This window comes from Homo sapiens, chromosome 2 (genome assembly GCF_000001405.40).
Source record: "Homo sapiens chromosome 2, GRCh38.p14 Primary Assembly".
Taxonomy (NCBI): Eukaryota; Metazoa; Chordata; class Mammalia; order Primates; family Hominidae; genus Homo; species Homo sapiens.
Genome location: NC_000002.12, coordinates 68,422,448 through 68,447,890, shown reverse-complemented (window position 1 = coordinate 68,447,890; position 25,443 = coordinate 68,422,448). Strand labels below are relative to the sequence as shown.

Sequence of the window (25,443 nt, the reverse complement as noted above, 5' to 3'; positions counted from 1 at the left end):
GGTGCCCCACACCCTCGAAACAGGAAAAGTAGTTTTCACTTGTTCCCCCTGCATCCTGGCATCTCCCTTCAAAAAGGAAAAGGTGGCCGGGCGTTTTGGCTCACGCCTGTAATCCCAGCACTTTGGGAGGCCGAGGCGGGCAGATCACGAGGTCAGGACATTGAGACCATCCTGGCTAACACGGTTAAACCCCGTCTCTACTTAAAAAAATACAAAAAATTAGCCGGGCGTGGTGGCGGGCGCCTGTAGTCAGTCCCAGCTGCTCAAGAGGCTGAGGCAGGAGAATGGCGTGAACCCGGGAGGCAGAGCTTGCAGCGAGCCGAGATCGCGCCACTGCACTCCAGCCTGGGTGACAGAGCCAGACTCCGTCTCAAAAAAAAAAAAAGGAAAAGGTGACATCAGGTGCGACCAGCTCAGCTCAGAGAACGGGACTGTCTCCTGGGCTCTAGAACATTCTGTGTTGCTGGGCACAGGCTCTTGCCTGGTGCCTGTGCTCCTTTCTGGTTGAAGGGAAGCCAGACGGGTGGAGTGGAAGCACTTTACCTTCACGTTGAAGGCAGCGTGTGAACCTGCAGTGGTGGCAGCTGTCAGTTTTCTGCTATTCTGGAGCCTGGCGCGCTTCCTCTAGGAGGATCTATCGCCGACGCTGTGGACGCTTTCCTGTTGTTCCCACCATCTCACGGTCCAGGTGATGCGCTGCCCCGCAGTAGCTGCTCGCCATACGAGGCTGTTGAAACTTAGTGTTCCATATTTTTGCATATCTACAACTATCTGATCTTTGACAAACCTGAGAAAAACAAGCAATGGGGGAAGGATTCCCTATTTAATAAAAGGTGCTGGGAAAACTGGCTAGCCATATGTAGAAAGCTGAAACTGGATCCCTTCCTTACACCTTATACAAAAATCAATTCAAGATGGATTAAAGACTTAAACGTTAGACCTAAAACCATAAAAACCCTAGAAGAAAACCTACGCTTTACCATTCAGGACATAGGCATGGGCAAGGACTTCATGTCTAAAAACACCAAAAGCAATGGCAACAAAAGCCAAAATTGACAAATGGGATCTCATTAAACTAAAGAGCTTCTGCACAGCAAAACAAACTACCATCAGAGTGAACAGGCAACCTACAAAATGGGAGAAAATTTTCGCAACCTACTCATCTGACAAAGGGCTAATATCCAGAATCGACAATGAACTCAAACAAATTTACAAGAAAAAAACAAACAACCCCATCAAAAAGTGGGCAAAGAACATGAACAGACACTTCTCAAAAGAAGACATTTATGCAGCCAAAAAACACATGAAAAAATGCTCACCATCACTGGCCGTCAGAGAAATGCAAATCAAAACCACAATGAGATACCATCTCACACCAGTTAGAATGGCAATCATTAAAATGTCAGGAAACAACAGGTGCTGGAGAGGATGTGGAGAAATAGGAACACTTTTACACTGTTGATGGGACTGTAAACTAGTTCAACCATTGTGCAAGTCAGTGTGGCAATTCCTCAGGGATCTAGAACTAGAAATACCATTTGACCCAGCCATCCCATTACTGGGTATATACCCAAAGACTATAAATCATGCTGCTATAAAGACACATGCACAAGTATGTTTATTGTGGCATTATTCACAATAGCAAAGACTTGGAACCAACCCAAATGTCCAACAATGATAGACTGGATTAAGAAAATGTGGCACATATACACCATGGAATACTATTCAGCCATAAAAAACGATGAGTTCATGTCCTTTGTAGGGACATGGATGAAACTGGAAATCATCATTCTCAGTAAACTATCGCAAGAACAAAAAACCAAACACCTCATATTCTCACTCATAGGTGGGAATTGAACAATGAGAACACATGGACACAGGAAGGGGAACATCACACTCTGGGGCCTGTTGTGGGGTGGGGGGAGGGGGGAGGGATAGCATTAGGAGATATACCTAATGCTAGATAACGAGTTAGTGGGTGCAGCGCACCAGCATGGCACATGTATACATATGTAACTAACCTGCACATTGTGCACATGTACCCTAAAACTTAAAGTATAATAATAATAATAATAATAATAATAAAGAAACTTAGAACGAACGCTTCAGCCTGCCCCAGCCCCAGCACTGCACCTTGTACTCAGGAGGTGCCCGTGGCGAGTGGTTCCCACGTGGGAAGTGCCCAAACGCGTTTCAGTGTCGCAGGGAGCTCTGTCAGGTGGCGCTTGCACAGACGGTGAACTTGATTCAGGAACTGTGAGGACATGGGTCCGGCTAGAAACCCGGTTTTACAGGAAGGTGATCGAAGACGTCGTGCGTGTTTGTTATTTTGATTTGACCTTTGCGCACACTGCAGAGCAGCAGGGATGTCACTGTATTTCAATCACCGATCCATAAGGATTAACTTTTGCAACTCCCTGGAAACGTTTAGCAGCAACACGTGAAACTAGTCTCAAAATACATCAAGCAAAACCTTTGGGTGCGTGCTCTGTTTATGAGTGAGGTGATCACTGCTTGATTTGGGAAGAGGCTTCTAGGTACATGGGGTAATTCGTTCAGGACGGCTTCCACCTGCTCTTCAGTGATTAAATCTCAACAAGGGAACAGATGTGCACGCTGGTGATGATTTTGGTGTGGGTTTTCGCTGGGGACTTAGAATCCTTAGTTTTCCTTTTAACAGTGATCTGGAAACAGTGCTGTCTGCAAAGCTGAGGCCCACTCCCCTGTGCTGGGGACCAGGGGTTTCAGAACAGAGGGGCCATGCCAGACCATTGTCCTCCTGTACCAGCAGCCTCACCTCCTTCACAATTCTGGGGAATCTGGAGCGGGGCATGCTCTTGTTAATAGTCTGCTTTGAAAATTTTGGTTTTAGGAGAAGTTAAGGTTGGTCTTGTCGGTATCTTCACGTAAGATAGGGTTGGCAAACTGGCATGTGGGCTGAATCCTGCCCACTGCCTGATATATGGCCTGCGAATGTTTTTTACATTTTAAAAATCGTTGAAAACAAGTTAAAAATATATTTCATGACATGAAAATCGTGAAATTCAAATTTCAATGTCTGTGAATAAACTTTTATTGACACAGTAAAAAAAAAAAAAGAAATAAGAGAGATAAATATAAAACCACACACACACTTTTGTTGAGCTGATGTATTTGAAAGTAGGTTTGCATACTTCATGACATTTTGCCCCAGAATATCATAGCATGTATTTCTTTCTTTTTTTTTTTCTTTTGAGGTGGAGTCTCGCTCTGTCACCAGGCTGGAGTGCAGTGGCGTGATCCTCTGACTCCATGGTTAAAGTGATTCTCCAGCCTCAGCCTCCCAAGTAGCTGGGATTAAGGCACATGCCACCACGCCCAGCTAATTTTTGTATTTTTAGTAGAGATGGGGTTTCACCATATTGGCCAGGATGGTCTCAATATCCTGACTTCGTAATCCGCCCACCTCAGCCTCCCAAAATTCTGTGATTACAGGCATGAGCCACCGCGCCCTGACATAGCATGTATTTCTTAAGGAAATGCACACATGCCTGCATAACCATAATCACACCCAAGAAATTTAACTTTCATCCAATAATCATATCATCTAATACCCAGCTCAGATTGAAATTTCCCTCAGCTGATCACAGAAAAATGTGTTTTCAAGCTTCTGAATGTGTGCCAACCTGAAAATGAGAAATATATTAATTTTTTCTCAGTAATTTACTATGAGCTTTTCCAAATATACACTAAAGTTGAGAGAACTTCCTCATTGTAAATTTAATTCAAATTTCTCTGCCATAAACATGAGGTTTATATGTTTAAGGGCATGGGTGGGTTTTGGTGTGTATGAATCTTTGTGTTTCTCAATTTTTGAGTGTTTTGTAAATTGAGGAGTTTAGTTCTTTATCTATGACATATGTTGCAATTATATTACTCCCAGTTTGTCACTTGTCTTTTGACTTTGCTTGTGATGCTTTTTTTTTTAAACAAATATTCTTTACATTTTATTTTATTTATATTTTTAGAGTTAGGGTCTTTCTCTGTTGCCCAGACTGAAGTGCAGTGGTACAATCATGGCTCCCTGCAGCTTTGACCTCCTAGGCTCAAGTGATCCTCCCACCTCAGCTTTCCAGCTCGCTGGGACTACAGAGATGCACCACCATATCCAAATAATTGTGTGTGTGTGTGTGTGTGTGTGTGTGTGTGTGTGTGTGTGTAGACAGCCTCCCCTTGTTGCCCAGACTGGTCTCAAACTTCTGGGCTCAAGAGATCCTCCTGTCTCAGCCTCCCAACGTACTGGAACCACGCCTGACCAGTCCTTTTTATTGATGTCAAAATTATTGCTTTTTTTCTGCTATTATATCTGGATGATGAACATGGTTTAAAATTTTTCCCACCACAAGATTACAAACAAATTCACTTATGTTTTCTTCAAGTACTTATGTGGCTCATTCTTTCTATATAAGTTTTTCCTGGAGTATAATGTATGTTAAGGATCCAAAGCTATCTGTTTTCAAGTGACTGTTCAGTTGTCCTAACACCATTTATTAATAAGTCTGTCTGTAATTTGAGATGCCACCTTATTTATATGAAAATTTTCTTTTTAGTTGGTTCTATTTCTGAACTTTCCATTATGTTCCAGATCTGTCTATCCATTCATACCACACTGTTTTAATTATACAAAATATTTATTGTGCATTGATATTTAATAGGGTTCTCTCTCTTCACTGACCTTTTTTACTGGTTTTCCTATTTAAGCATATATGTTTGTTTATCCACATGAACTTTGGAATCAATTTCTGTAGTCCCAGGAAAACTACATATTGCAATTTTATTAGGGTGGTATTAAATTAGAGATAATTTATTTCATCATAATGTCAAGTTATCTTATCCAAGACCAAGAAATATTTCCATTTGTCTTTTAGGAATGTTTTAAACTTTTCCTCATATGGATTTTACACATTACCTCTTAAGTTTACTTTCAAGTATTTTATATTTTTGTCATTATTGCAAATTGAATTTTTTCTTCTTTTATCTTCTAACTAGCTATCATTTACATACACACACATTTACACTCACACACACGTGTGATTTTTGTACACTCATTTTGTAGCCTGCTAACTTACTGAGGTCTTTTGTTCATTTAGAGTCATCATTTATTCTATTGGGTTTTCCAGATATACTGTCATATCAACTGCAAATGGAGAGAGTTTAACTACTTTTCCAAGTCTTATGCCCCAATTTTTTAACTAGTATACTAATGTCTCCAATATGATGTTAAATAGTAATGGAGATGGCAGACATTTTTACCTTGTTTCTTGCCTTAGTGGGAATGTTTCCAGTATTCTAGTATTACTCCATTATAATATTCTCTTTCTCTTTCTCTCTCTCTCCCTCCCTCTCTCCTGTGTCTCTGTCTCTCATACATATATAAAATCATGTTAAAGGAAAACCCATTAATGTCTATTTTATCTAATACTTCTACTGGAAATGTATATTAAATTTTATAAAGGGACTTTTTGGCATATCTGATTTGTTATACATTTCTCACCTGAAAATTTCTAAGAACTTTACTAATATTAGTACTCTACATTCTATAACAATAGTTTCTTCAGTTGATACAATGTATGTATGTTTTCTCAGCTCCAGAGAACCAATAACATTGAATATCATATTTTAGAACCATGAAAAAACTTGATAAACAGTCTGACTTTCTTCGCCAAAACTGTCTTATAATAGTATCTTTCAACGATTAAGTACTTTTCACATGGCCATTTATGTACTCATCAAAGAGTCTTGAAAGGTAGTTTCTGACATTAATATTTTTAAGATACAAAAATGCAGACTTATAGAAGTAACATTACTTAAGCAAAGCAAAACAGCTTGCATATGGAGGAGAAAGACCTTGACTCCAGGACTGGCTCTAAAATGCTTTCTGTCACATCGTCCTTGAGATCTGGTCAATGCTAATCCTCTGCCAGCAGAGGGCGCAATACTTCTATTAAAGCCCAGTCAAAGCGCTTGAGTGGGAGCAGCTAGTTCCCCATTGCAGCCCTGTTGGCTGATTGCAAAACCTCAAAAGTCAGAATTTGTCTGTACCCTTTTAGTTGCAAATGACAGAACTGAAACTAGTCCTGCCCAAACCAGGTGGGAGGGTTGGACTGAAAATGGAGTAGGGTGTTTCCCCAGAGAGAACATAGAGTATAGCCCCAAAATGACAAAAAGCCTCTTCTGCTAGAAATATAAGATATCAGGGAACATAATACTCCAATGAAGAGACTTCTCTTCCCACTCCACCCTTCAGACCTGGCCTGGCCAACAGGCCACCCCCTAGGTTTCTATCTGAACCTTCAAAGATCCAATTAAGAACACTTAAATTCAGCTTTTGCGTATTTTATCCACAAAGGCCCAAGTCATTATTCTGTATTTTGCCACAGGGATATTATTTCATACGGATTTGTTCTCCAAAACTTCAGCCTGGCATTTCCACTGACTCTGTAGCTCTGTGAAACCAAGCTGTAGGTGTGAGTATATTCTGTTGACATAGCAGATATGAGCTCTGAGGTTGGGTTAAGTGTAAAGAAATTTCTCACCCTTTTACTAACATTGTGAATAAATTCTAGTCTCTTGTGTGAAAAGACTGTAAAAGGAGTTCACCTGGGGATGAGAACATTTCTAAGATTATGTTTTTATTCTTTCCCTCTGAAAACTCGCATAGGCAGAAAGAATGAGCCAGAGGCCTTGGGGAGTTGAGCAAAGTAACCAAAATTCACATCCAAAATTTCATTTCATTTAAAAATAAACCTATCACATGGAAATTTTGAAATTCATCTCCTGGATTATGTGCTTTAGTACACACACACACACACACACACACACACACACACACACACACAGTATCCACACCTCAAAATGGAAAGTAAAATGTACCCAAGTATGGTGTATAATTTTATCTCAATATGACTTACTTTTGGATTCTACTTTCCTGACCCTGCCCAAAGTACAATGTATTTTTGATTCAAAAGTCAACACTCAAGATTAATGTCCATAGATAACAATAATAGTTGAGTGCTTACTATACAGAAGCTATCCTGCCAACAACCTTTGGAGGAATTCCCTTCCTTGGAATTGCTGTTGACATAGCAGATATGAGCTCTGCTTGCTGTTGACCAGCAGGCTTGCTGTTGGCATTAAACAGATACATGAGAGGTCACGCGCTGATCTGGTTTGGCTCTGTATCCCCACCTGAATCTCATCTTGTAGCTCCCATAATTCCCACATGTTGTCGGAGGGACACAGTGACAGATGATTGAATTATGGGGGCAGGTCTTTCCCATGCTGTTCTCATAATAGTGAACAGGCCTTACGAGAGCTGATAGTTTTTAAAATGGGAGTTGCCCTGCACAAGCTCTCTTTTTATCTGCCGCCATCCACATAAGATGTGACTTGCTCCTCCTTGCCTTCCACCAGGTCTGTGAGGCCTCCCCAACCATGTGGAACTATAAGTCCATTACATGCATTTTCCTGTATAAATTACCCAGTCTAGGGTATGTCTTTATCAGCAGCATGAGAACAGACTAATACACATACCCTGGCAATTCAGGCCCCCCTGCACTGCCCTCAAGAAACCCGACTGGAGCCCCCAACCCATGAGGGTTGTGTAGGCTCAGAGGCTGCTCTTAGTAAGTCATGTGGCTTGTCAGCTTTGTTTCTTCTTAAGTAATGGGAGCTTATTTTTCCAGACCTTTATTCCATAAATGCTTGGGGATTTAGAGTTAAATTTTAGCAAGTTTTAACATTTTGATTGTATGTAATTCCTCCTTTAGTCTTTTGTCACCTCTCTATTTTTGTTCTCTCTGTTTATCCTTCAGCTTATTTTAGGTTTGTCGTGATTTTACCTTTCTAAATCTTATGGGTCTAGCATTTTTACTTTTCACGTGGTCTATTCTTGACTTTACACTGTATATTTTATCCTTTTAATCTTTTTCTAAATTTTACCATAATTTTCTACCTTAATCTGTTACTTTAATTTTTTAGTTATAGCTCTTTTGATCTTTTTTATTTTTAACCAAATCTATTACTTTAATTTCTGAATAATTCTTGCCTCAATCTTTTTACTTATAGTTCCTTTTTTATTCTTTTAACTTAAATTTTTGTTCACGTTTTTCTTTTTAAATGTGTTCTCTTTTGCCCAGAGTACCTTTAAAAATATTTTATTCTTTTTTTTTTTTTAACTCTCAAGCTATAGCGCTGGGCAGAGTTTATGATCTAGAATTAACACAGCTGTGGTGAATGTACACACATGGAACATTGGATACTTTTTCCTTCTAGCCATCTCTGCATTTATCTTTCTGACTGCTTAGAAAATCATTCATCATATTCAGTGTTTTTCTCCAAAAATAAGTAACTGGGCTGTGTCAGAGACTGAGGAATGACAACCCCTTCCCAGGGCCCGAAGCTTCCTACTTATGCAGGCAGCAATTTGAAATACTAGAATGAATGTCTCTTTGTAAAGAATTACATCTTCTAAAAACCTGTGGTCTCCGATGTATAACTCATCTATAGAAGGGGTGGAGATTGGGAAGAAATTACCTCTTCTTCCTCCAATTTTCTCCATTGCTTTAAACTGTGAATTCCACTGCTTGAACCAGAAACCCATGAGACATCCACGCAAGTTCTGTGCATTCTACCTCATCAATTTCACTTCTCACCTGGACTACTACCATATCATCCCAACATTGCTTCTAATCTTGATTCCTTCTATCTATTCTCCAAATAGCATCCAATGTGATCATGTCACTCCCTACATGAAAACTGTCAATGGTTTCTCAATGTGTCTCAAATAAAACCAGAGATATTTACTGGAGCCTCCACATGTGGCATGGTCCCCACCTGTCTCTTCCACCTCAGCACGTTCCTTTAGCCTCCTCCCTTACACCAATCCTTTGGTTCCTTGGCCATGCCAAGCTATCTCTCACCCCTAAACCTTCGTACATATGAGTCCCTCTTTCTGGGGTACTTGCTCCCCTACTCTGTGTAATGTTGGTTCTTTCTCATCTTTCAAGTAGGGTGACCAACCATCCTGGTTTGCCTGGGACTAAAGGGACTCCGGGGATGCAGGACTTTTCATTTTAAAACCAAGAAAGTCTTGATCAAACTGGGACAAGTTGATCACCTACGTTCAAGTCTCAGCTCCTGTATCAGTTCCTCAGCAAGACTTTCTTTGCCTGCTATATCCAAAGCAGACTCCTCCCCTGACCGCCCTCCCAAGCTCCCGTTATGTTTCATTTCAACATCCTGTTTCCCTTGTAGGGAGGACTTAGTGCACTTTGAAATTATTTTACTTTATGTATGTCTTTACTGGCTTTTCTCTGTTTCTCCTTCCCTAATGACTAAATACTGTGAGGTGCCATCACTCCTGTCTCATTCCTTGTGAAATCCCAGTGTCTAGCACTGAACCCAGCACACATTTATTGACGGAAGCAAGGATGGAAAATAAGAGAAAGGAAAGATAAAGAAGCCCCCCTAATGTAGCTCAGGCTTTCTTTTATGAGGAACTATATGGTGTTTTTCTGTCCTACAAACTGCCATAGAATGTGGCAGACCCATTCTTTACAAGCCTACTTCTATGCATTTTTTTTTTACTGGATTCATGTCCATTTTCTTTGAAATTACTAACAAATCATTTTGTTGGGTGAGTTTTGTGTGTGAATTTTCTTTGCTCTCCTCCCTTCTTATTCCCTTCACAATGTCAAGGAGTTCCTGACGAGGTATTTGATTTCCTTAAATGCAGAAATGCATAAACCCCAAATGCCTCCAGAGGCCAAGGCAGTGACAAACAGGAATAAAACAGACTCGATGAAAGAAAAATCACCTGACGAAAGGCATAACCAGACTTGCCTTATTTTTATGGAACTATGGCACGAGCACATAATCTCACACATATTTATATAACATAGCAAATTTTATTTTGCCAGTGAAATGGAACACAGATTGAAAAATTAAATATTTAGTTATCCTGAATGCTGTGAGAGGTTGTGGTTTTTTTGTTTTGTTTGTTTTGACGCAGTTTTGCTCTTGTTGCCCAGGCTGGAGTGCAATGGCGTGATCTCGGCTCACTGCAACCTCCATCTCCTGGGTTCAAGTGATTGATTCTCCTGCCACAACCTCCCAAGTAGCTGGGATTACAGTTATGCACCACCATGCCCTGCTAATTTTTTTTTTTCTTTTTTTTTTTCTTTTTTTTTTTTTTTTAGTAGAGACAGGATTTCACCATGTTGGTCAGGCTGGTCTCGAACTTCTGACCTCAGGTGATCTGCCCACCTCGGCCCCACAAAGTGCTGGGATTACAGGTGTGAGCCACCGCACCCAGCCAAGGATTATTTTTTTTACACAACCTATATACATACAGAAAAGTGTCATTTCTTTTTAAAACTGATATAAGAGAGCAGGTGTTTCCCCCAAGACTCCAACCTTTGGGTTTCAGCAAGGGAAAAATATTTAATATTCAATCCATTTCAAACCTTAGGCCAATCCAATAACAATGATTAAATATCAGATTTTTGAGGAAAATGCTCAAGTGACTTTGAGCCAGGAGAAGTCATATAACATCCATTCTTCCATCATTGCTATCCCAAGCAGCACAGTATCTGGTGTTACGTCTGCTGGAGTATAATTGGCTGATGGTGTCCCTGGGCTTTCTGCTGGCATCTACTCCTGCCTTTCAGGTGATGCACGCATGGCCTCTTCTCTACAAAACAGTAAGTGTTGGGGGAGGGGGACAGGGTGTGGGAGAGACTGGCATCTCATGCTAATCAGGCCTACCCTTAGCTATTGCCTGGCTATTGACCAAAATCTCTTCCAAGTCCATGTAGTCCCACAGAGCCAGTCGGTCTCCCTCCAATGTCTGCTGTGGGGCAACCCACTCCTCCCAATGGCAGGGGCAATGATAAACCCTCTGCCTTTCAATCTGAAACAAAGAGGCTTGGAGTTTAAATCAGAGCTACTCTCTTCCTGGTCACACCCAGCAGCTGTCTTGGCTGGGCTGGTTCACCCTACATTGACATGGAGCCTCGTCTCCTCCAGAATCTCAAACTGTAAGCAGGGAAAGCCACTCTGTCTCCAAGTTATCTAGCTTCCCACTCTCCACACCATGGCTCAGAGGCTCGAGCACGACACATTGTTATTGGATTGGCCTAGGGTTTTTTCTGTCCCTCCTGATTCTCTCTCCCTGATTTTCCCATAGCACCAGAACAAGGAGGGGCAGGTTTCTGTCACCACCACCCCCTTCTGGCCTCATCACCTGGCATCCCAGCTGGAGCATCTTCTTTACATGAGCTCCACCATCTGAATTTCCAGGTCTGAAAACAGGAAACCCTTTCCCTCCCACCAGTGACTGGATTGTAAGCCTTGCTGTCAAGCTTAAAGAATGTCAGAGTTGGAATATTATCTTCCTCTCACTCTCACGTGGCTTCTGTAACAGATCCGAATCTCTCCCAAGGCTAAGAGTGATTGTCGTTATCTGGAAAGACACAGAAATGCTTCCCTGTTAAACGACATTGTCTTTTTTAAACTTGTTATTTCTTCTATTTGAAGCTAAAACCTCACACATTTTCTTCCTCACCAAGCTATCACTGTCAGGTCTTGTGTTTCTTATTCAGTTTACAACACAGAGTTGAGCCTTCAATCCTTTACGTAGGAGAGAGATTTATTTTTATACATAGTGAAAACAGCTGATAATAAGTATAGGTACTTCCAAATATGGATACAATCTTTGCACAATGATTTTCATATCTAGGCTAACCACTCTTAAGATATTTATAAAATTCTGCTCTTCTAAAATAACTTTGTTTCTTTTTTGTGATCTCCTTTAACAACTGTTTAGTAACTTCTTGTAGCAATTTTTCCACACTGTCAGTATTAAGTTAGATGGTAAAAAGAATAGTCTTAACTCATTTTCATAAAGTTTGAAATCAGATAATTTTTTGAAATTTAGTCCTCAGCCTCACAAATGTACTTCATACCATGATTTCTATTTTTGGAAACTGACTTCAGTGTAGCAAAATGGGTCAAATTATTTGCCAGTTGATTTCCCTCAAGAAACAATTTCACTAGGAATGAGTGGATTACACAATGTGTTTATATAACCACTTATGAATACCCATGAAAGGGTATGGTCAAAATGTGATGAGTTACAATGTCAATCAAAAAACCAAGTCTTTCATCCAATCTTCCTGGTTGTCCAAGGGAGGTTTTAAAAAAATTGGATGTTTTTAAAATTGACATTTCAAAAAATCCTTTCAACATTTGGCAGGACTAAGTCAACTGCTGCTACAACTTGTTTAGCCAATTGATTAAGGAGTGCATAGAACTGTGTAGGGATTAAGCAATGGGGCCATATTTTGTTTATACTGATACATTCATAGTGCTCTTCATGTTTTATTTTAAGGAGAGATCATTCCTGGTAACTGTAACACTCAGATGCATTATATTCTTACAAAATATTTTGGTTTTGAATTTAAATTTTATAACATGTCCAGCAATAACACCAATCATTGCAGGAGAATCATCATTTTCATTGGTTTATATTAAAAAGTTTGAGACTTCTTGAAACACAGGATTAAGTAGATAAAAAGAGGTCCAAGGACTGAGCTCTGAGTCACTCTATCTCCAGAGATGAAGCCAGCAAAGGGACAGACAAGTGAGACAGAGGGAAACTAGGAAGTAAAGTGAAATGCTGCAAGGAGGAAGGGAGGGACTATTGACATCAAGTGCTGCTCATAGGTCAAATGATGGAACCAGTAGGCCAATTGGCTCTGATGGCTCACTACTCCACCACTCCACTGCTACTTTCATCTCACCCTCAGGCCCTTTTTCTCCCCATCTCCCATGCCCACTGTGCTTTTGCCATACTGATCTTGATGCTCCTCAGGCAGACTCATGCCTCAGGGCCGTGCACTTGCAGTTTCCTCTGTCTAGCATGCTTTTTCCCCAGATGTCAACATGGCTCATTCTCTTCCTTTAGGTTTCTGCTCCAGTGCCATTTTATTAGCAAGGACTTCCCTGTCTAGCCTTGCCAAGAGAACACCACTGGCCACTGACCCTTGACTCTATTCCTATTATCTCACATATTAATGTCATAATATCATTATGACATATTTATAATGTGATAAACATCATAAATAGATAAAGCTATTTGGTAAGAATATCAGCTCAAGGAGGTCAGCAACTAAAATATTGCCTGGCATGTAGTGATTAATTGATAAGTATTTTGAATGCATATCAATTAATTGAATGCAATGAATAAAAACAGCTGATCAGAATATTTTTATGGTAACTAGGTACAGCCTAATTATTAATCTTCCAAGAAGAGTGAATACCCCAACCTTGACTAAAGGACATATTTTTAGAATCTGAAGAACAAACGTCTTGCAAACACTCTCCCCAGCCCTTTTATCTAACAGGAGGTAAATGGCTACCTGAGAGCATTCTTTTCAAAGTTGTAGGTTAGGCCAGGCATGGTGGCTCATGTAATCCCAGCACTTTGGGAGGCTGACGTGGGAGAATGGCTTGAGCCCAGGAGTTTGAGACCAGCCTGAGCAACATGGTGAAACCCTGTCTCTACTCTTGAAAAAAAAAGTAAAAAAACAAAGTTCTAGGGTAGATACTTTCCCATTTTTGAATACCCTGTAGTAACAACTCTTTCTAACGTGTTTAACTTCATTTTGAATGAATTAAAAAGTAAATGCTATATAAGCATTTGTTTGCACACAGATTAATACAAGAATCACACAGTACTAATGCCTACATATTACTTTAAATTTTATTCCATTTTAAATCTTAATTTGCCTATATTAACTATTTAATAAACTATGTGTATATGTAATTTTGAGACTTCGCTTTTCAACTAACACTTTTATTGATTTTAGAAATTTCAGCTTTTAAAAACCTGGCTTTGTAAGAGAAAGTATGCAAGGCAGTCAACCAATTGATGGTGGCGGTGGGACTTCTGGAGGGGTTGCTGCCATCATGCTGCCTGCAGTGGGGAGATGCCAGTGGTGGCATCAGGAGTGGCTTCAGGGGCAGCAGTGGCAGCAGTGGGCCCTTGTGCCCTGTGTCCCCAAGACGGCCAACTGTACCAACCCCACTCTCATACAGCTGGGCAGGACCCACTCCCAGGCCTGTAGTCTCCACCAGGGCCTCAGCCTTGCTCCCTGCTGCATCCCAGGAACCCATGAGCACCCAGCCACAGGCACAGCTGGGACTCACAGGGCTGCCCCTGGAGCATCAGGTTCATTTGTGCAGGAGTTGGCTGGGGTCGCTGCCCAACCTGCACCTCATCCACTGCTGCTACAGGGAAAATGTAGGAAGGAGGTGTGGCCAGGACTGTGCACTCCATGGAGCACACAGGAGCTGGGAACAAGCAAGAGCCCCGCCCTTTCCGAGTTGGCAGGGCAGAGCACCCCAGAGGCAACTGCAGCCACCCAAGCTGCAGCAGCAACCAGGGCACCCCTGTGCTCTCAGGAGCCAGAAGCAGGCAGGAGCCCCACCATCCCAGGCACAGCGGCAGCTGCCCAAGCTGTGGCTGCAGATCCAAGCATCTCTGCACTCTCAGAGGCCTGAGAAGGCATGCCCCCTTCCCCTGCAGGACAGGAAATGCCTGCTTCCACTGCCTGGCTTCTCCCTGCTGCCAGCACCTGCTCCAATCTTGGAGCAAAGGCGGGGCCAAGCTCAGGTGCTGTCACAGCCCAGCCAGGTGTGCACACACTCGGGGAAGCACTGACACGCCAGCCCCCTGCTGCCTCGGCCCCGTCTGGACTTAGGGCATTGACAAACACAGGAGGGAGGCTGAGTTGGGGGGCTGGAGAAAGCCCAGTGCTGGCCTAAAGGTGCCCCTTGGCATGAAAAGCCTGAGCGCCACGAACAGTGACAGGAGGCAGACAGGCTCCTGAGTAGAAGTGGGTGGGTACCTGGTGAAGCCGCACTTTCAAGCCGGGGAGGGCCTGAAGCCTGGGGGCTGGGCCGCCAGTCCTGAGGACCCAAGGGAGAACTTGTGGTGCTTTTTCTTGGGCCTGCCAATGGCTGCCCATGGACCAATCAGCACACACTTCCTCCTCTCTGAGACCTATAAAAACACCAGACTCAGCCAGAGTCAAAGAGAGGATGGAGAGATGATGGGGAGAAGACAGAGAGATGAAGGGATGACCTGCCTGCAGAGAGGATCCATCTACTCCAGGGCCTCCTCTCTGCTGAGAGCTGCAGAGATGACAGGACAACCTGCCTGCAGAGAGACACTACCTCTGTGCTGAGAGCTGAAGAGATGACAAGATGACCTGCCTGAAGAGAGGATTCACCCACTCCAGGGCCTCCTCTCTGCTGACAGCTGCAGAGACAACAGGATGACCTGCCTGCAGAGAGGTGCTACCTCTGTGCTGAGAACTGAAGAGGTGACAGGATGACCTGCCTGCAGAGAGGACCTACCCTCTCTGCTGAGAGCTGAACACTCCTCGGATTTACCTGACTACAGAGGGGAGCTACCCTCTCTGCGAGAGCTGACCACTCATTGTGACACCTTGGCTACAGAGAGGAGCTACCTACTGTGGTTCTCCTCTGAGCTGTTCTATTGCTTAATAAAACTCCTCTTCATCTCGCTCACCCTCCACTTGCCTGCATACCTCATTCTTCCTGGACATAGGACAAGAACTCAGGACCCACTGAATGGCAGGGCTAAAAGAGCTGTAACACAAACAGGGCTGAAACATGCCCCTGCTCGCCACATTGCAGGCAAAAAGAGGGAGAGAAGAGCTGCGGCCCTTTGGGGATCCCAGGCCTGGGTGTTCCCTGAGCCAGGGCTGTGACTCCCTCTTTGGAGCCCTGCAGCTTCTGGAGTCTGCAAGCTTCCAGGCCCCAGAGCATTTGCCAGTGCCAGCTATGGAAGCTGCTTGTGGTGCACCTAGTCCAGATGCAGCCTTGCAGGGAGCCAGCACCCACACCAGCACCTGGAGTTGCTTGCCCCACAGCAGCAGCTGGCATGCCCAGCTATGTGCGGTGGCTAGACCCCACGCTCACTCACATACCCTTCATTACTCCACGCCTGGCTTGCCCTTGGCAGGCATGGGATCCAGGCCAGTAGCATGAGCTGAGTGCAGCCTGCTGGGCCAACTGGGTGGAACAAGCCCAGCAGGCCAGAACAAAACTTGGGCAAAGGCACCACTGGCCACAGAGGTTTCCAGCAGGCGAAGCGACACCACAAGGATCCCGTAACACAATGAGCATTTGTAGCCATCATCCCAGTGTGTGGATTGAGTAGAAAGAGAAATAGCGTGCCCTCACTAGTGCTTCCATACACATAGAGACCACAGACTTTGGAACAGCATCCCTGGCATCTTTGTTTTGGAATGACATTGAAACACTGAACCAAGTCAAATAAGGGGACATTTGCAACTTTGCTGACTCATTTGTCAAGAATAAAAAAATACACAGGCAAATTTGAATGAAGGCCAGGCACAGTGGCTCACACCTGTAATCTCAAGACTTTGGGAGGACGAAATGGGAGAATCACTTGAGCCCAGGAGTTCAAGACCAGCCTGGACAATATATCGAGAGGCCTGTAATTCCAGATATTTGGGAGGCTGAGATGAGAGAATTGTTTGAACCCAGAAGGTTGAGGCTGCAGTGAGACTTGATCACGCCACTGAATTCCAGACTGGGTAACATTGTAAGACCCTGTCTCAAAAAATATATTAAAAAAGCAAATGGAGAGAATGTGAGGAGAATCATCTGTGAAGGAAACTGGAAGGTCTTTTCCAATTTCTAACCATACAGTGGGCCCTGAGAAAACACCTTTATAGAGAGAGAATGATTAGAACATTCTCTCTAATAATAATGATAGTCACATGAATGTCTGTAAATGTATAGGCAACAGGATAGTATCAATAAGTTGAATATGCCTTTAACAAGCTGAATGTACCTTATTCTTTAGCCTTCTTGAAAATAAAAGCCTAACCTAGTCATCTACCTGCATGGGGAGAATAGGGTGGAATTAGAAGTGCAGATAGGTTGTAATTAGAGGCTTTTAGTGGCTGACAATCACTGAGCATCTGTTGAAAGATAAGTGAATAGTAAAATTAGAAAATTACAGCCTCCATCAAGGAATGCAGCCCTCCCAACATCTCGAGACCCATTTCAGACTTATAACCTCCAGAGCTGTGAGATAATAAATTTGTGTTGTTTTAAGCTTCTAAATTTGTGGTTACTTGTTACAACAATAGGAAACTCATACAATAATTTTTATAGAAAGAATATACAATTAAATGCAAAAAGTACACTCATCTTAAGTGTACAGCTTGAAGAGTTGTCTTCCACATATTAATTGAGTGTAGCTAATTCATAGACCAAGTCATAGCACATCCCAGCAGCAGCCTATGATTCCCTCCTGCAACTGCCCAATTTGTACACTGCACCCCTAAAAGGAAAGAAAAATTCATACATTCAAAATACTTCTCACACCAAATGTGTGGAGTTTACCTCACATTAAGCAATTCTCCAACTCTCCAGATACCAAGTGGGTGTACTACAATTTACTCATGACACTAACTACCCAGAGTTAGTGCAGACCCCATAGGTTGAGGACTCAGCCTCGCAAGGCTGAAACCAAATTTAGACACCAGTCAGTAGTCCCAAACTGTGACCTGTCCATCTGGCTAACTAGCTATCCATTGGGGGTTGCCATGACCTTCTCTTTAGGTTTGATAATTTGCTAGAATGGCTCACAGGACTCAAGAAAGTGCTTTACTTACAATTAGCAGTTTATTTTAAAGGATACCACTTAAGATCAGCCAGATGAAGAGATACACAGGACAAAGTATGAGGGTGGAGCTGAGAGGTTCCGTCCTGCTCCACATGCTGCACCCTCCCAGCAGGTCTGTGTTTCCACCAACCTGAAGTCCTCCAAGTCCTGTCAGTTAGGGGGTTTATGGAGTTTCTATTCGGTAGGCATGATTGACTAATTAGTGGTCCCCAACCTTTTTGGCACCAGGGACCAGTTTCATGGAAGACAATTTTTCCACAGATGGGGGGTGTGGTTTCAGGACGATTCAAGCACATTACATTTATCATTCAATTCTCATAAGGATGACGCAACCTAGATCCCTTGCATACTCGGTTCACAATAGGATTCACACTCCTACGAGAATCTAATGCTGCTGCTGATCTGACAGGAGGCGGAGCTCAGGCGGGAATCCTTGCTCACCCACTGCTCGCCTCCTGCTTTGCAGTCCAGTTCCTAACAGGCCATAGACTGGTACTGGTCCACAGCCTGGGGGTTGGGGAACCCTGGACTAAATCATGGGCCATTGGTGACTGAGCTCAATCTCCAGCCCTTCTCCCCTCTCCAGAGGTTGGGGGAGGGAGGGAGTGCTGAAAGTTCCAACCCTGTAATCAACCATGTGATTCCTCTGATAACCACCAGCCTCCAAGAGTCACTTCATGAAAACAAACTCACATATGATGAAATAATATACAATAATTAATATAGATAACAAAAGACATTCCTCTTGCCTTTATCATCCAGGATTTTACAAGTGTTTAGGAGCTATGTGCCAGGAAATGGGGATGAAGACCTAATATATGTTTCTTATATTCTTAATGTATCACAATACCACAGCCTCCAAAAGTAATCTCTATTCTGACTTTTATAAATGTTGATTAATATTGCCTGAATTTAAACTTCACATAATTAAAATCATATAATTAATTCCTGCAAGATAGTGATTTAAAATAAGTCAGAAGTACTTTTTATTCCTGGCAATCTTTCTTACTCCCTTAGCCCCTTCAGAGAATAGTGAAGAACTCAGCTGCAAAAAAATTGATGTCAACTTTAGAGATAATAGTTATGAAAGCCAATGTTTTTCTTATCAAGTGCCAGGTTTTATTGCGAGAAGAAAGGAATTTTGAGTTTAGTTGAGCCAGAGCTAGAGGAGTATACCAAGCTTGTCTGACCCATGGCCTGTGGGCTGTATATGACCCAGGATTGCTTTGAATGTGACCCAACACAAATTCATAAGCTTTCTTAGAACACTGAGAGTTTTTTGTGATTTTTTTTTAGCTCATCAGCTATTGTTAGTGTTCTTGTATTTTATGTGTGGTCCAGGACAATTCTTGATCTTCCATTATGGCCCAGGGAAGCCAAAAGATTGGATATCCCTGGAATTTAGCATAGAATTCGTTTTAAAAGTTAACTAGACTTCCTGTCTCTGAACTTACAGTTTTTTCCTTAAAGGCCCCTGAACAACTGCACAGGCCATTCATCACTGTGTATGAGTCCATACACATATTATCACCAGGTGTCCCACTCAAATTCTGTCTGTAGGAAAGACTGCCCTTTGCTTTCAAGGCCAACCCTGGTGTCAGATTTGCATTGCAGTCCGAAGGATTTTCCTGCCCAAATTCTGCTTCCTTCCTTTTTTATCTCTCATGGGATTACTCCTTCCCCTTCTCATCAAACCTCCTCCACTTACTTCTGTCTCAGCTGCTTTCCAGAGAAACCAGCTGACCACTTCATACCTTTGGAGGAGTGATGTTTAGAAGAACGGAAGAAGAGCTATGTGCAAGTGCAGGGTGAGGCTGTATGCAGAGAATTACAGTAACTGCTTTATGTCATCGGGTAGGTGATGAGAACTAATACAAGAGGAAGAATTTAGAATGAGAACAGATAAAATAATATAAGTTCTCTCCTCTACTCTCGAGAATTTGGGGGAAAATTGGTGAGGTCATCAGCTTTCCCACAGAAAGTTGTACAAGACTGGAGTTACTTTATTTGGATGCCAAAGCAAAGGGCAACCCAGAAGGCTGGAGAATTCCTGGTACCGTGCATGCTAAATGCAGCAATAGGTTAGAATGATACTCCTGGGAAGAGTATGAGTAGGAAGGACAGAAAACAGCACTGATTAAAAGTGCAAACTCTGGGTTTGAATCCCATCTCTGCTATCCTACCTAGTTGTGTCACCCTGGCCAATTTACTTCACCTTTTTGAGCCTCAGTGTCATCATCTGTAAAATGGTGATAACAAAAGGAACTATCTCAAAGGGATAGGGTGAGGGTGAAATAAAACAATTCTTGAAAAGTACTTAACCGAGTTCCTGACCTAGACTACATATTCTGTAAACGGTTGTTTTCTTATTAAATTCTAGGAAACATCTGCCAGGGAAGGCAGATGATATTAAAGAAACAAGACCAGACCAGGGAATGTTATTATTCTCTCACACATAGATATAGTATTGCTATTGTTCAAGCAGAGCCTGTAGTTACAAGAACTTTCAAAAAGGACTTAGTTACTAAATGCATTAGAAATAATGTACAATTTCTACCCTACAGGTGCCACGTGACCTATTAAACATTTTATATAACCTTACTCATGGTTATGCTGAACTCTTAACATAGTGTTTCATCAATGTTTATTTAAACTTGCGGATATGCTGCAACCAGAAGCGGGGATTTCCAAATTGGTTAACCCCTATTCAAGGACAGTTGGGGGAAGCTCAGATGTTTTTTCTGGGTTTTTATGGTTTTTATTTGCAGCTGTGTTATTGCAACAGCAATCATATTGGTGCTGTGAACTTATGTAACAGAGAGAAAAGGTATAACACCAAGTAAAATGTATGAGACGCCCCTCGGAGAACCCTGCATTCCATTCCAGTACCCCGGCTTTAACTCTGTTGCTTCTCATCTCAAATCACAGTCTCCACATCTTGTCACCCTTTGCCTAGGCCTCAGCTTCCTTTCCTGATGAGCAACTTCAGATGAGGGGTGCATCTTGTTTCCTCAGTCCTCCAGGGTTCTCCTCCCGAACTGTCGTGAATGGTGAGACCCTGAAGACAATAGTCTATACCTGAAGCGGCCCAAAGACCTCCAAGCGGGAGCAATCCTTACACTGTGTTAAAAGTTTGCTTAACTTAGTGATTTCTCACCCTGGTACAGTCCTAATATGCAATTTTAACATTTTTTGAGCTTTCATTATGAACCAGGAACTGCCCTAAGGTATTTACATAATTGAAATATGTAAATTTTCTCATAGGATTTTGAATATGTAAATTTTCATAAGGATTGAATGTAATGTAATCCTTATATTAACCCTATGTACTATTATTCACATGCCCATTTTACTGATAAAAAATGAAGGCTGTGTTAAGTAACTGGCTGAAGGTCACCTAACCAGGAAGGAGCTGCTCTGCTATTAAACTGCCTCTCAGTGATAACTCCCTGGAAGAGATGAGACCTCTGGGAGACACCCACAGCCATTATTCTGCTCCTTCTAGTATCATAACAGACCCTAAGAATGGGACTGAACGTTAGTCTCTTTTTTATACATGTTCTTAGTTTCTACTTCTAAAACAAGTGTGCAAGGTTTTTTAAAATCAGAAAAAGATAAAGATATATTAAAAAGTAAAATATATCAAATTAATCTACAAGAAAGATCTTCTGGTCAGTTTTTTACTTCAAAAAGCATTTAAGGCCGGGTGTAGTGGCTCATGCCTATAATCCCAGCACTTTGGGAGGCTGAGGCAGGAGGATAGCTTGAACTCAGAAATTTGAGACTAGCCTGGCCAACATGGCAAAATCCCTGTCTCTGCAAAAAACACAAAAATTAGCTGGGCGTGATGGTACGCACTTGTAGTCCCAGCTACTCAGGAAGCTGAGGTGGGAAGATCGGTTGAGCCTGGGACATGGAGGCTGCAGTGAGCCAAGATCACACCACTGCACTCCAGCCTGGGTGACAAAGTGAGACACTGCCTCAAAACAGATGAAATAAAAAGCATTTAACCTTTTAAAGCCTCATTCCTTAGAGCAGCATATCCTAAACTATATACATATGACATCATCCAGGAATCTGGCTAAAATGCCCTCTTTGTTTCAGCTCCTGCATTACTAGTAGACTCCCAGGGGATGCTGCTGGTGGTGGTCTGTGGGTGATGCTTTTAGCAGCACTTTCACACCCCTGTGTTACGGCAAGGATACCCAGCATTTTGCCTATGCCAGAAGTCCAACCCCTCAACCCCACTCCGTATGCTAAAGCCCCCTGGCTCCTCCAGACTCTGGAGGGTATCCCACACTCCCTGGAGGGTATCCCAAACATATCCTTAACCTAATCTACCGACACACCCTTAACCTGCTGCTAGAGACTCCACACTGGCCCCTGGCACCGAGGCCATTCCCACTGACTTCCTCATTCTTGTCTTCAGATCACTAAGGACTTCTGATGGTCAAGGGCTTTTCTACCTCTGCACTGCATAGAGATAAATGCTCTCAATTCTCAGCTGAGGGGCCCCACATGTCTGTTCCAAATCTCCTCTCTTCTCAAGCTCCCAACAAGTCTTGTCACCCAAATCTCCCTCAACATATGACCTCATTTTTTATTTTAATTTAGAGCCATGTCAGGGGCCATTTGACACAAGCTGTGTCCTCTTTCTTCCTCTCAACCTCTATGGAACTCTATTTCTACATCCATCTCTACTTCCTTGTTCACATCAATGTGTCCTCCCTGCTTTCCACAGTCAATCCACTGTCTGGGCCATTGGCTCAATCCTTCTTCACCTCCTCCACCTCCTCTACCTCCTCCCAAATGCTCCTTCCTCATTTTCTTCTTCTCTTCCCATCTTTAGCAAACTCCTGTCCTCTATCTGCAACCTACAAATGTTCAGTTCTCCACTAAGAGAAACACCTTTCACCTGGTTCTTCCCATTTCTCTGATCCCCACCATTACTTAGATGACTCAGGCACATCATACACAAGCAAAATGAAGCCCCTGATTCTTCTCACCCTGCCACGCCACACCCCTGCACCTCCCCCCATCTTCCCAGCTCAGGAAATGGTCCTAGCTTTCACTCAGACCAAAAACCTAGGAGTCATCCTTCATTTGGCTTTCTTCTTAGACCCTACCCCTTCAACATCATTTTGCACATCCTGTTGATGTTTCTACCACCACAATATAGTCCAAAGCTGACCCCTTGTCACTATTTGCGGTGTACCAACTGGATCTAAACCACATTTATTCCTTGAATGAATTATTCAGCATCTTCCCGTCATATTTCCAACTTCAACTCTTGCCCTATACAGTCCATTCTTCACAAAGCAGCCTAAGCGAGTTTAGAAGTTGTAAATCTAATCAAGTTACTTCTCTGTTTAAAATCTACTTATAGCATCCCCTTGCACTTAGAGTAAAACACAAACTCCTTCTCTGCTTCTCTGATGTCTTCTACCACTTTCCCCATAGTTTATCAAGCACCAGATATACTGTGCTCAATCTATGCACTTTCTCTTTGTATAGACTGGAATGTGCTCATTGTGTGCCATGTTTCATTTTCATCATAGCACTTTTAATATCTGCAATTGTCTTCATCATTTACAGACTATCTCTCTCACACTAGAATGCAAACTCCATAACAGTGGTGATCTTGCCTGCCTTACTCACCTAGCAGTGAACAAGCACCTAGTGGGATCTAATAAATACAGGCCTCTTGAACAAGTAAATTAATGAGTTAACCTATTACTCCTGGTAGCTACAAGCCAGTTCTCCACTAGGTAATTCACTGTAGCAAACTTCTGAAATGAATAATCTATGACCATTGCTTTCTTTTTTTCACCATTGTTCCCCATTTTCTCTGTAGTGTAACTTCTCCCTTCACCATTCTTTTGAAACTTCTGCCCTGAAGGTCACCACGGCACTTTAATGACCAAAACAAACCGTCTTTTTTAAGATCTCAGCCACCTTAACCTTTGTGAATTTGACATTGTTAACCACTTCCCTTTTCTTGAAGAATCTCTCCTCTCCCTAGGCTTCTGAGTCACTTCTTCTGCAGACCAAATCTTTACCAACCCTTTTGCTGGCTCATCTTTCTACTCCTGATCTCCACTCATGAGTCTTCTCAGGTGACCTATATCAATTTCTCAATTCTACATATTCGTTTTTGGTGAACGCATCTCCTAGGACTTCAGCTGTTACTTCTTTGCTCATGAGTCTAAGTCAGTCTCTGCATCCTGACTCTCTCCCCTTACCTTCAAACTCATGTTCCAAATCCATCCTCATGCTATGACTTTCCTTTTTCTCTTAAGGAACTGCTCTTCCCAAAGAATGGAAAACACCTCTTAACTCTCACCATCTTACTCATTGCAATCTGTAGATTCTTCCTTTGAAATGGTTCTGTTCATCATTCTTTCTGCTACTGACACTCTTCTCACCTCCCATAGAGATATACTACAGTAGTCCACTAATTAATTTCCCCATCTCTGGAGTCACCTTCTGATATGGTTTGGCTGGGTCCCCACCCAAATCTCATCTTGAATTGTAGTTCCCATAATCCTCACATGTCATAGGAGGGACCTGGTGAGAGGTAATTGAATCATGGGGGCAGTTTCCCCCTTGCTGCTCTCATGATAGTAAGTTCTCATGAGATCTAATGGTTTTATAAGGGGCTTCCCCCTTTGCTTGGCTCTCACTCTTCACCTTCCTGCTACCAGGTGAAGAAGGATGTGTTTTCCACCCCCCTGCCCCCACCCCCACTACTGCCATGATTGTAAGTTTCCTGAGGCCTATCTAGTCTTGCAGAACTTTTAAACTTCTTTTCTTTATAAATTACCCAGTCTTGGGAAGTTCTTTATAGCAGCATGAGAATGAACTAATACACCTTCCTCCAAGCTAGCTACATCCAGGCCCCCTTTAATAAATGGCTCCCCATTGCCTACAAGGAAAAAAGGCAACACTCAGGTTCTTTAGTTATTCATTCAACACAAATAGTACCTAAAGCCAGTTTTCTGGACTTTCCTCAACATTTCCACTTTCTTACTTTTTAGGGTATTTTCTAGAAGTGAAGATATAATTCCATCACAGTGATCATCTATGTGGTTCAGTGGCATTAATCTTTCTCAACAGATGCTAAGCCCCAGAGGGCAGGATTGAGTCTTCACTTTTCTGCACCTGTGTAACACATCCAGCTCAGGAGATGTTCAATTAACATTTGTTCTATCAATTTCTTTTGACACATAAATCTTCTAAATCCATTTGCAGAGAAGAAGAATCAGATAATAGATAGAAGTGAACAATTACAATAATAAATATGATGGGCCGGGCACAGTGGCTCATGCCTGTAATCCCAGTGCTTTGGGAGGCCAAGGAGGGCAGATCATGTGGTCGAGAGATCAAGACCATCCTGGCCAACGTGGTGAAACCCCATCTCTCTAAAAACACAAAAATTAGCTGGGCATGGTTGCAGGTGCCTATAGTCCCAGCTGCTCGGGAGGCTGAGGCAGGAGAATCACTTGAACCTGGGAGACGGAGGTTGCAGTGAGCCGAGATCGTGCCACTGCACTCCAGCCTGGCGACAAAGCAAGACTCCATCTTAAAAAATAAATATATAAAGAAATAAATATGATTAAATCACTGTAAATTTTAACAATATTAACAGTTAT

At 42.5% G+C, this 25,443-nt stretch overlaps 6 annotated features.

The window, feature by feature from the left end:
* Positions 5,851-6,090: a silencer, noted in NCBI's record as "silent region_11592". NCBI's record gives its function as "represses an Ori minimal core promoter by ATAC-STARR-seq in GM12878 lymphoblastoid cells {active_cell/tissue: GM12878}" and the evidence as "EXISTENCE:reporter gene assay evidence [ECO:0000049][PMID:35858748]".
* Positions 6,281-6,330: an enhancer, noted in NCBI's record as "active region_15956". NCBI's record gives its function as "activates an Ori minimal core promoter by ATAC-STARR-seq in GM12878 lymphoblastoid cells {active_cell/tissue: GM12878}" and the evidence as "EXISTENCE:reporter gene assay evidence [ECO:0000049][PMID:35858748]".
* Positions 6,421-6,470: an enhancer, noted in NCBI's record as "active region_15955". NCBI's record gives its function as "activates an Ori minimal core promoter by ATAC-STARR-seq in GM12878 lymphoblastoid cells {active_cell/tissue: GM12878}" and the evidence as "EXISTENCE:reporter gene assay evidence [ECO:0000049][PMID:35858748]".
* Positions 23,548-23,657: an enhancer, noted in NCBI's record as "active region_15954". NCBI's record gives its function as "activates an Ori minimal core promoter by ATAC-STARR-seq in GM12878 lymphoblastoid cells {active_cell/tissue: GM12878}" and the evidence as "EXISTENCE:reporter gene assay evidence [ECO:0000049][PMID:35858748]".
* Positions 23,778-24,017: an enhancer, noted in NCBI's record as "active region_15953". NCBI's record gives its function as "activates an Ori minimal core promoter by ATAC-STARR-seq in GM12878 lymphoblastoid cells {active_cell/tissue: GM12878}" and the evidence as "EXISTENCE:reporter gene assay evidence [ECO:0000049][PMID:35858748]".
* Positions 24,358-24,427: a silencer, noted in NCBI's record as "silent region_11591". NCBI's record gives its function as "represses an Ori minimal core promoter by ATAC-STARR-seq in GM12878 lymphoblastoid cells {active_cell/tissue: GM12878}" and the evidence as "EXISTENCE:reporter gene assay evidence [ECO:0000049][PMID:35858748]".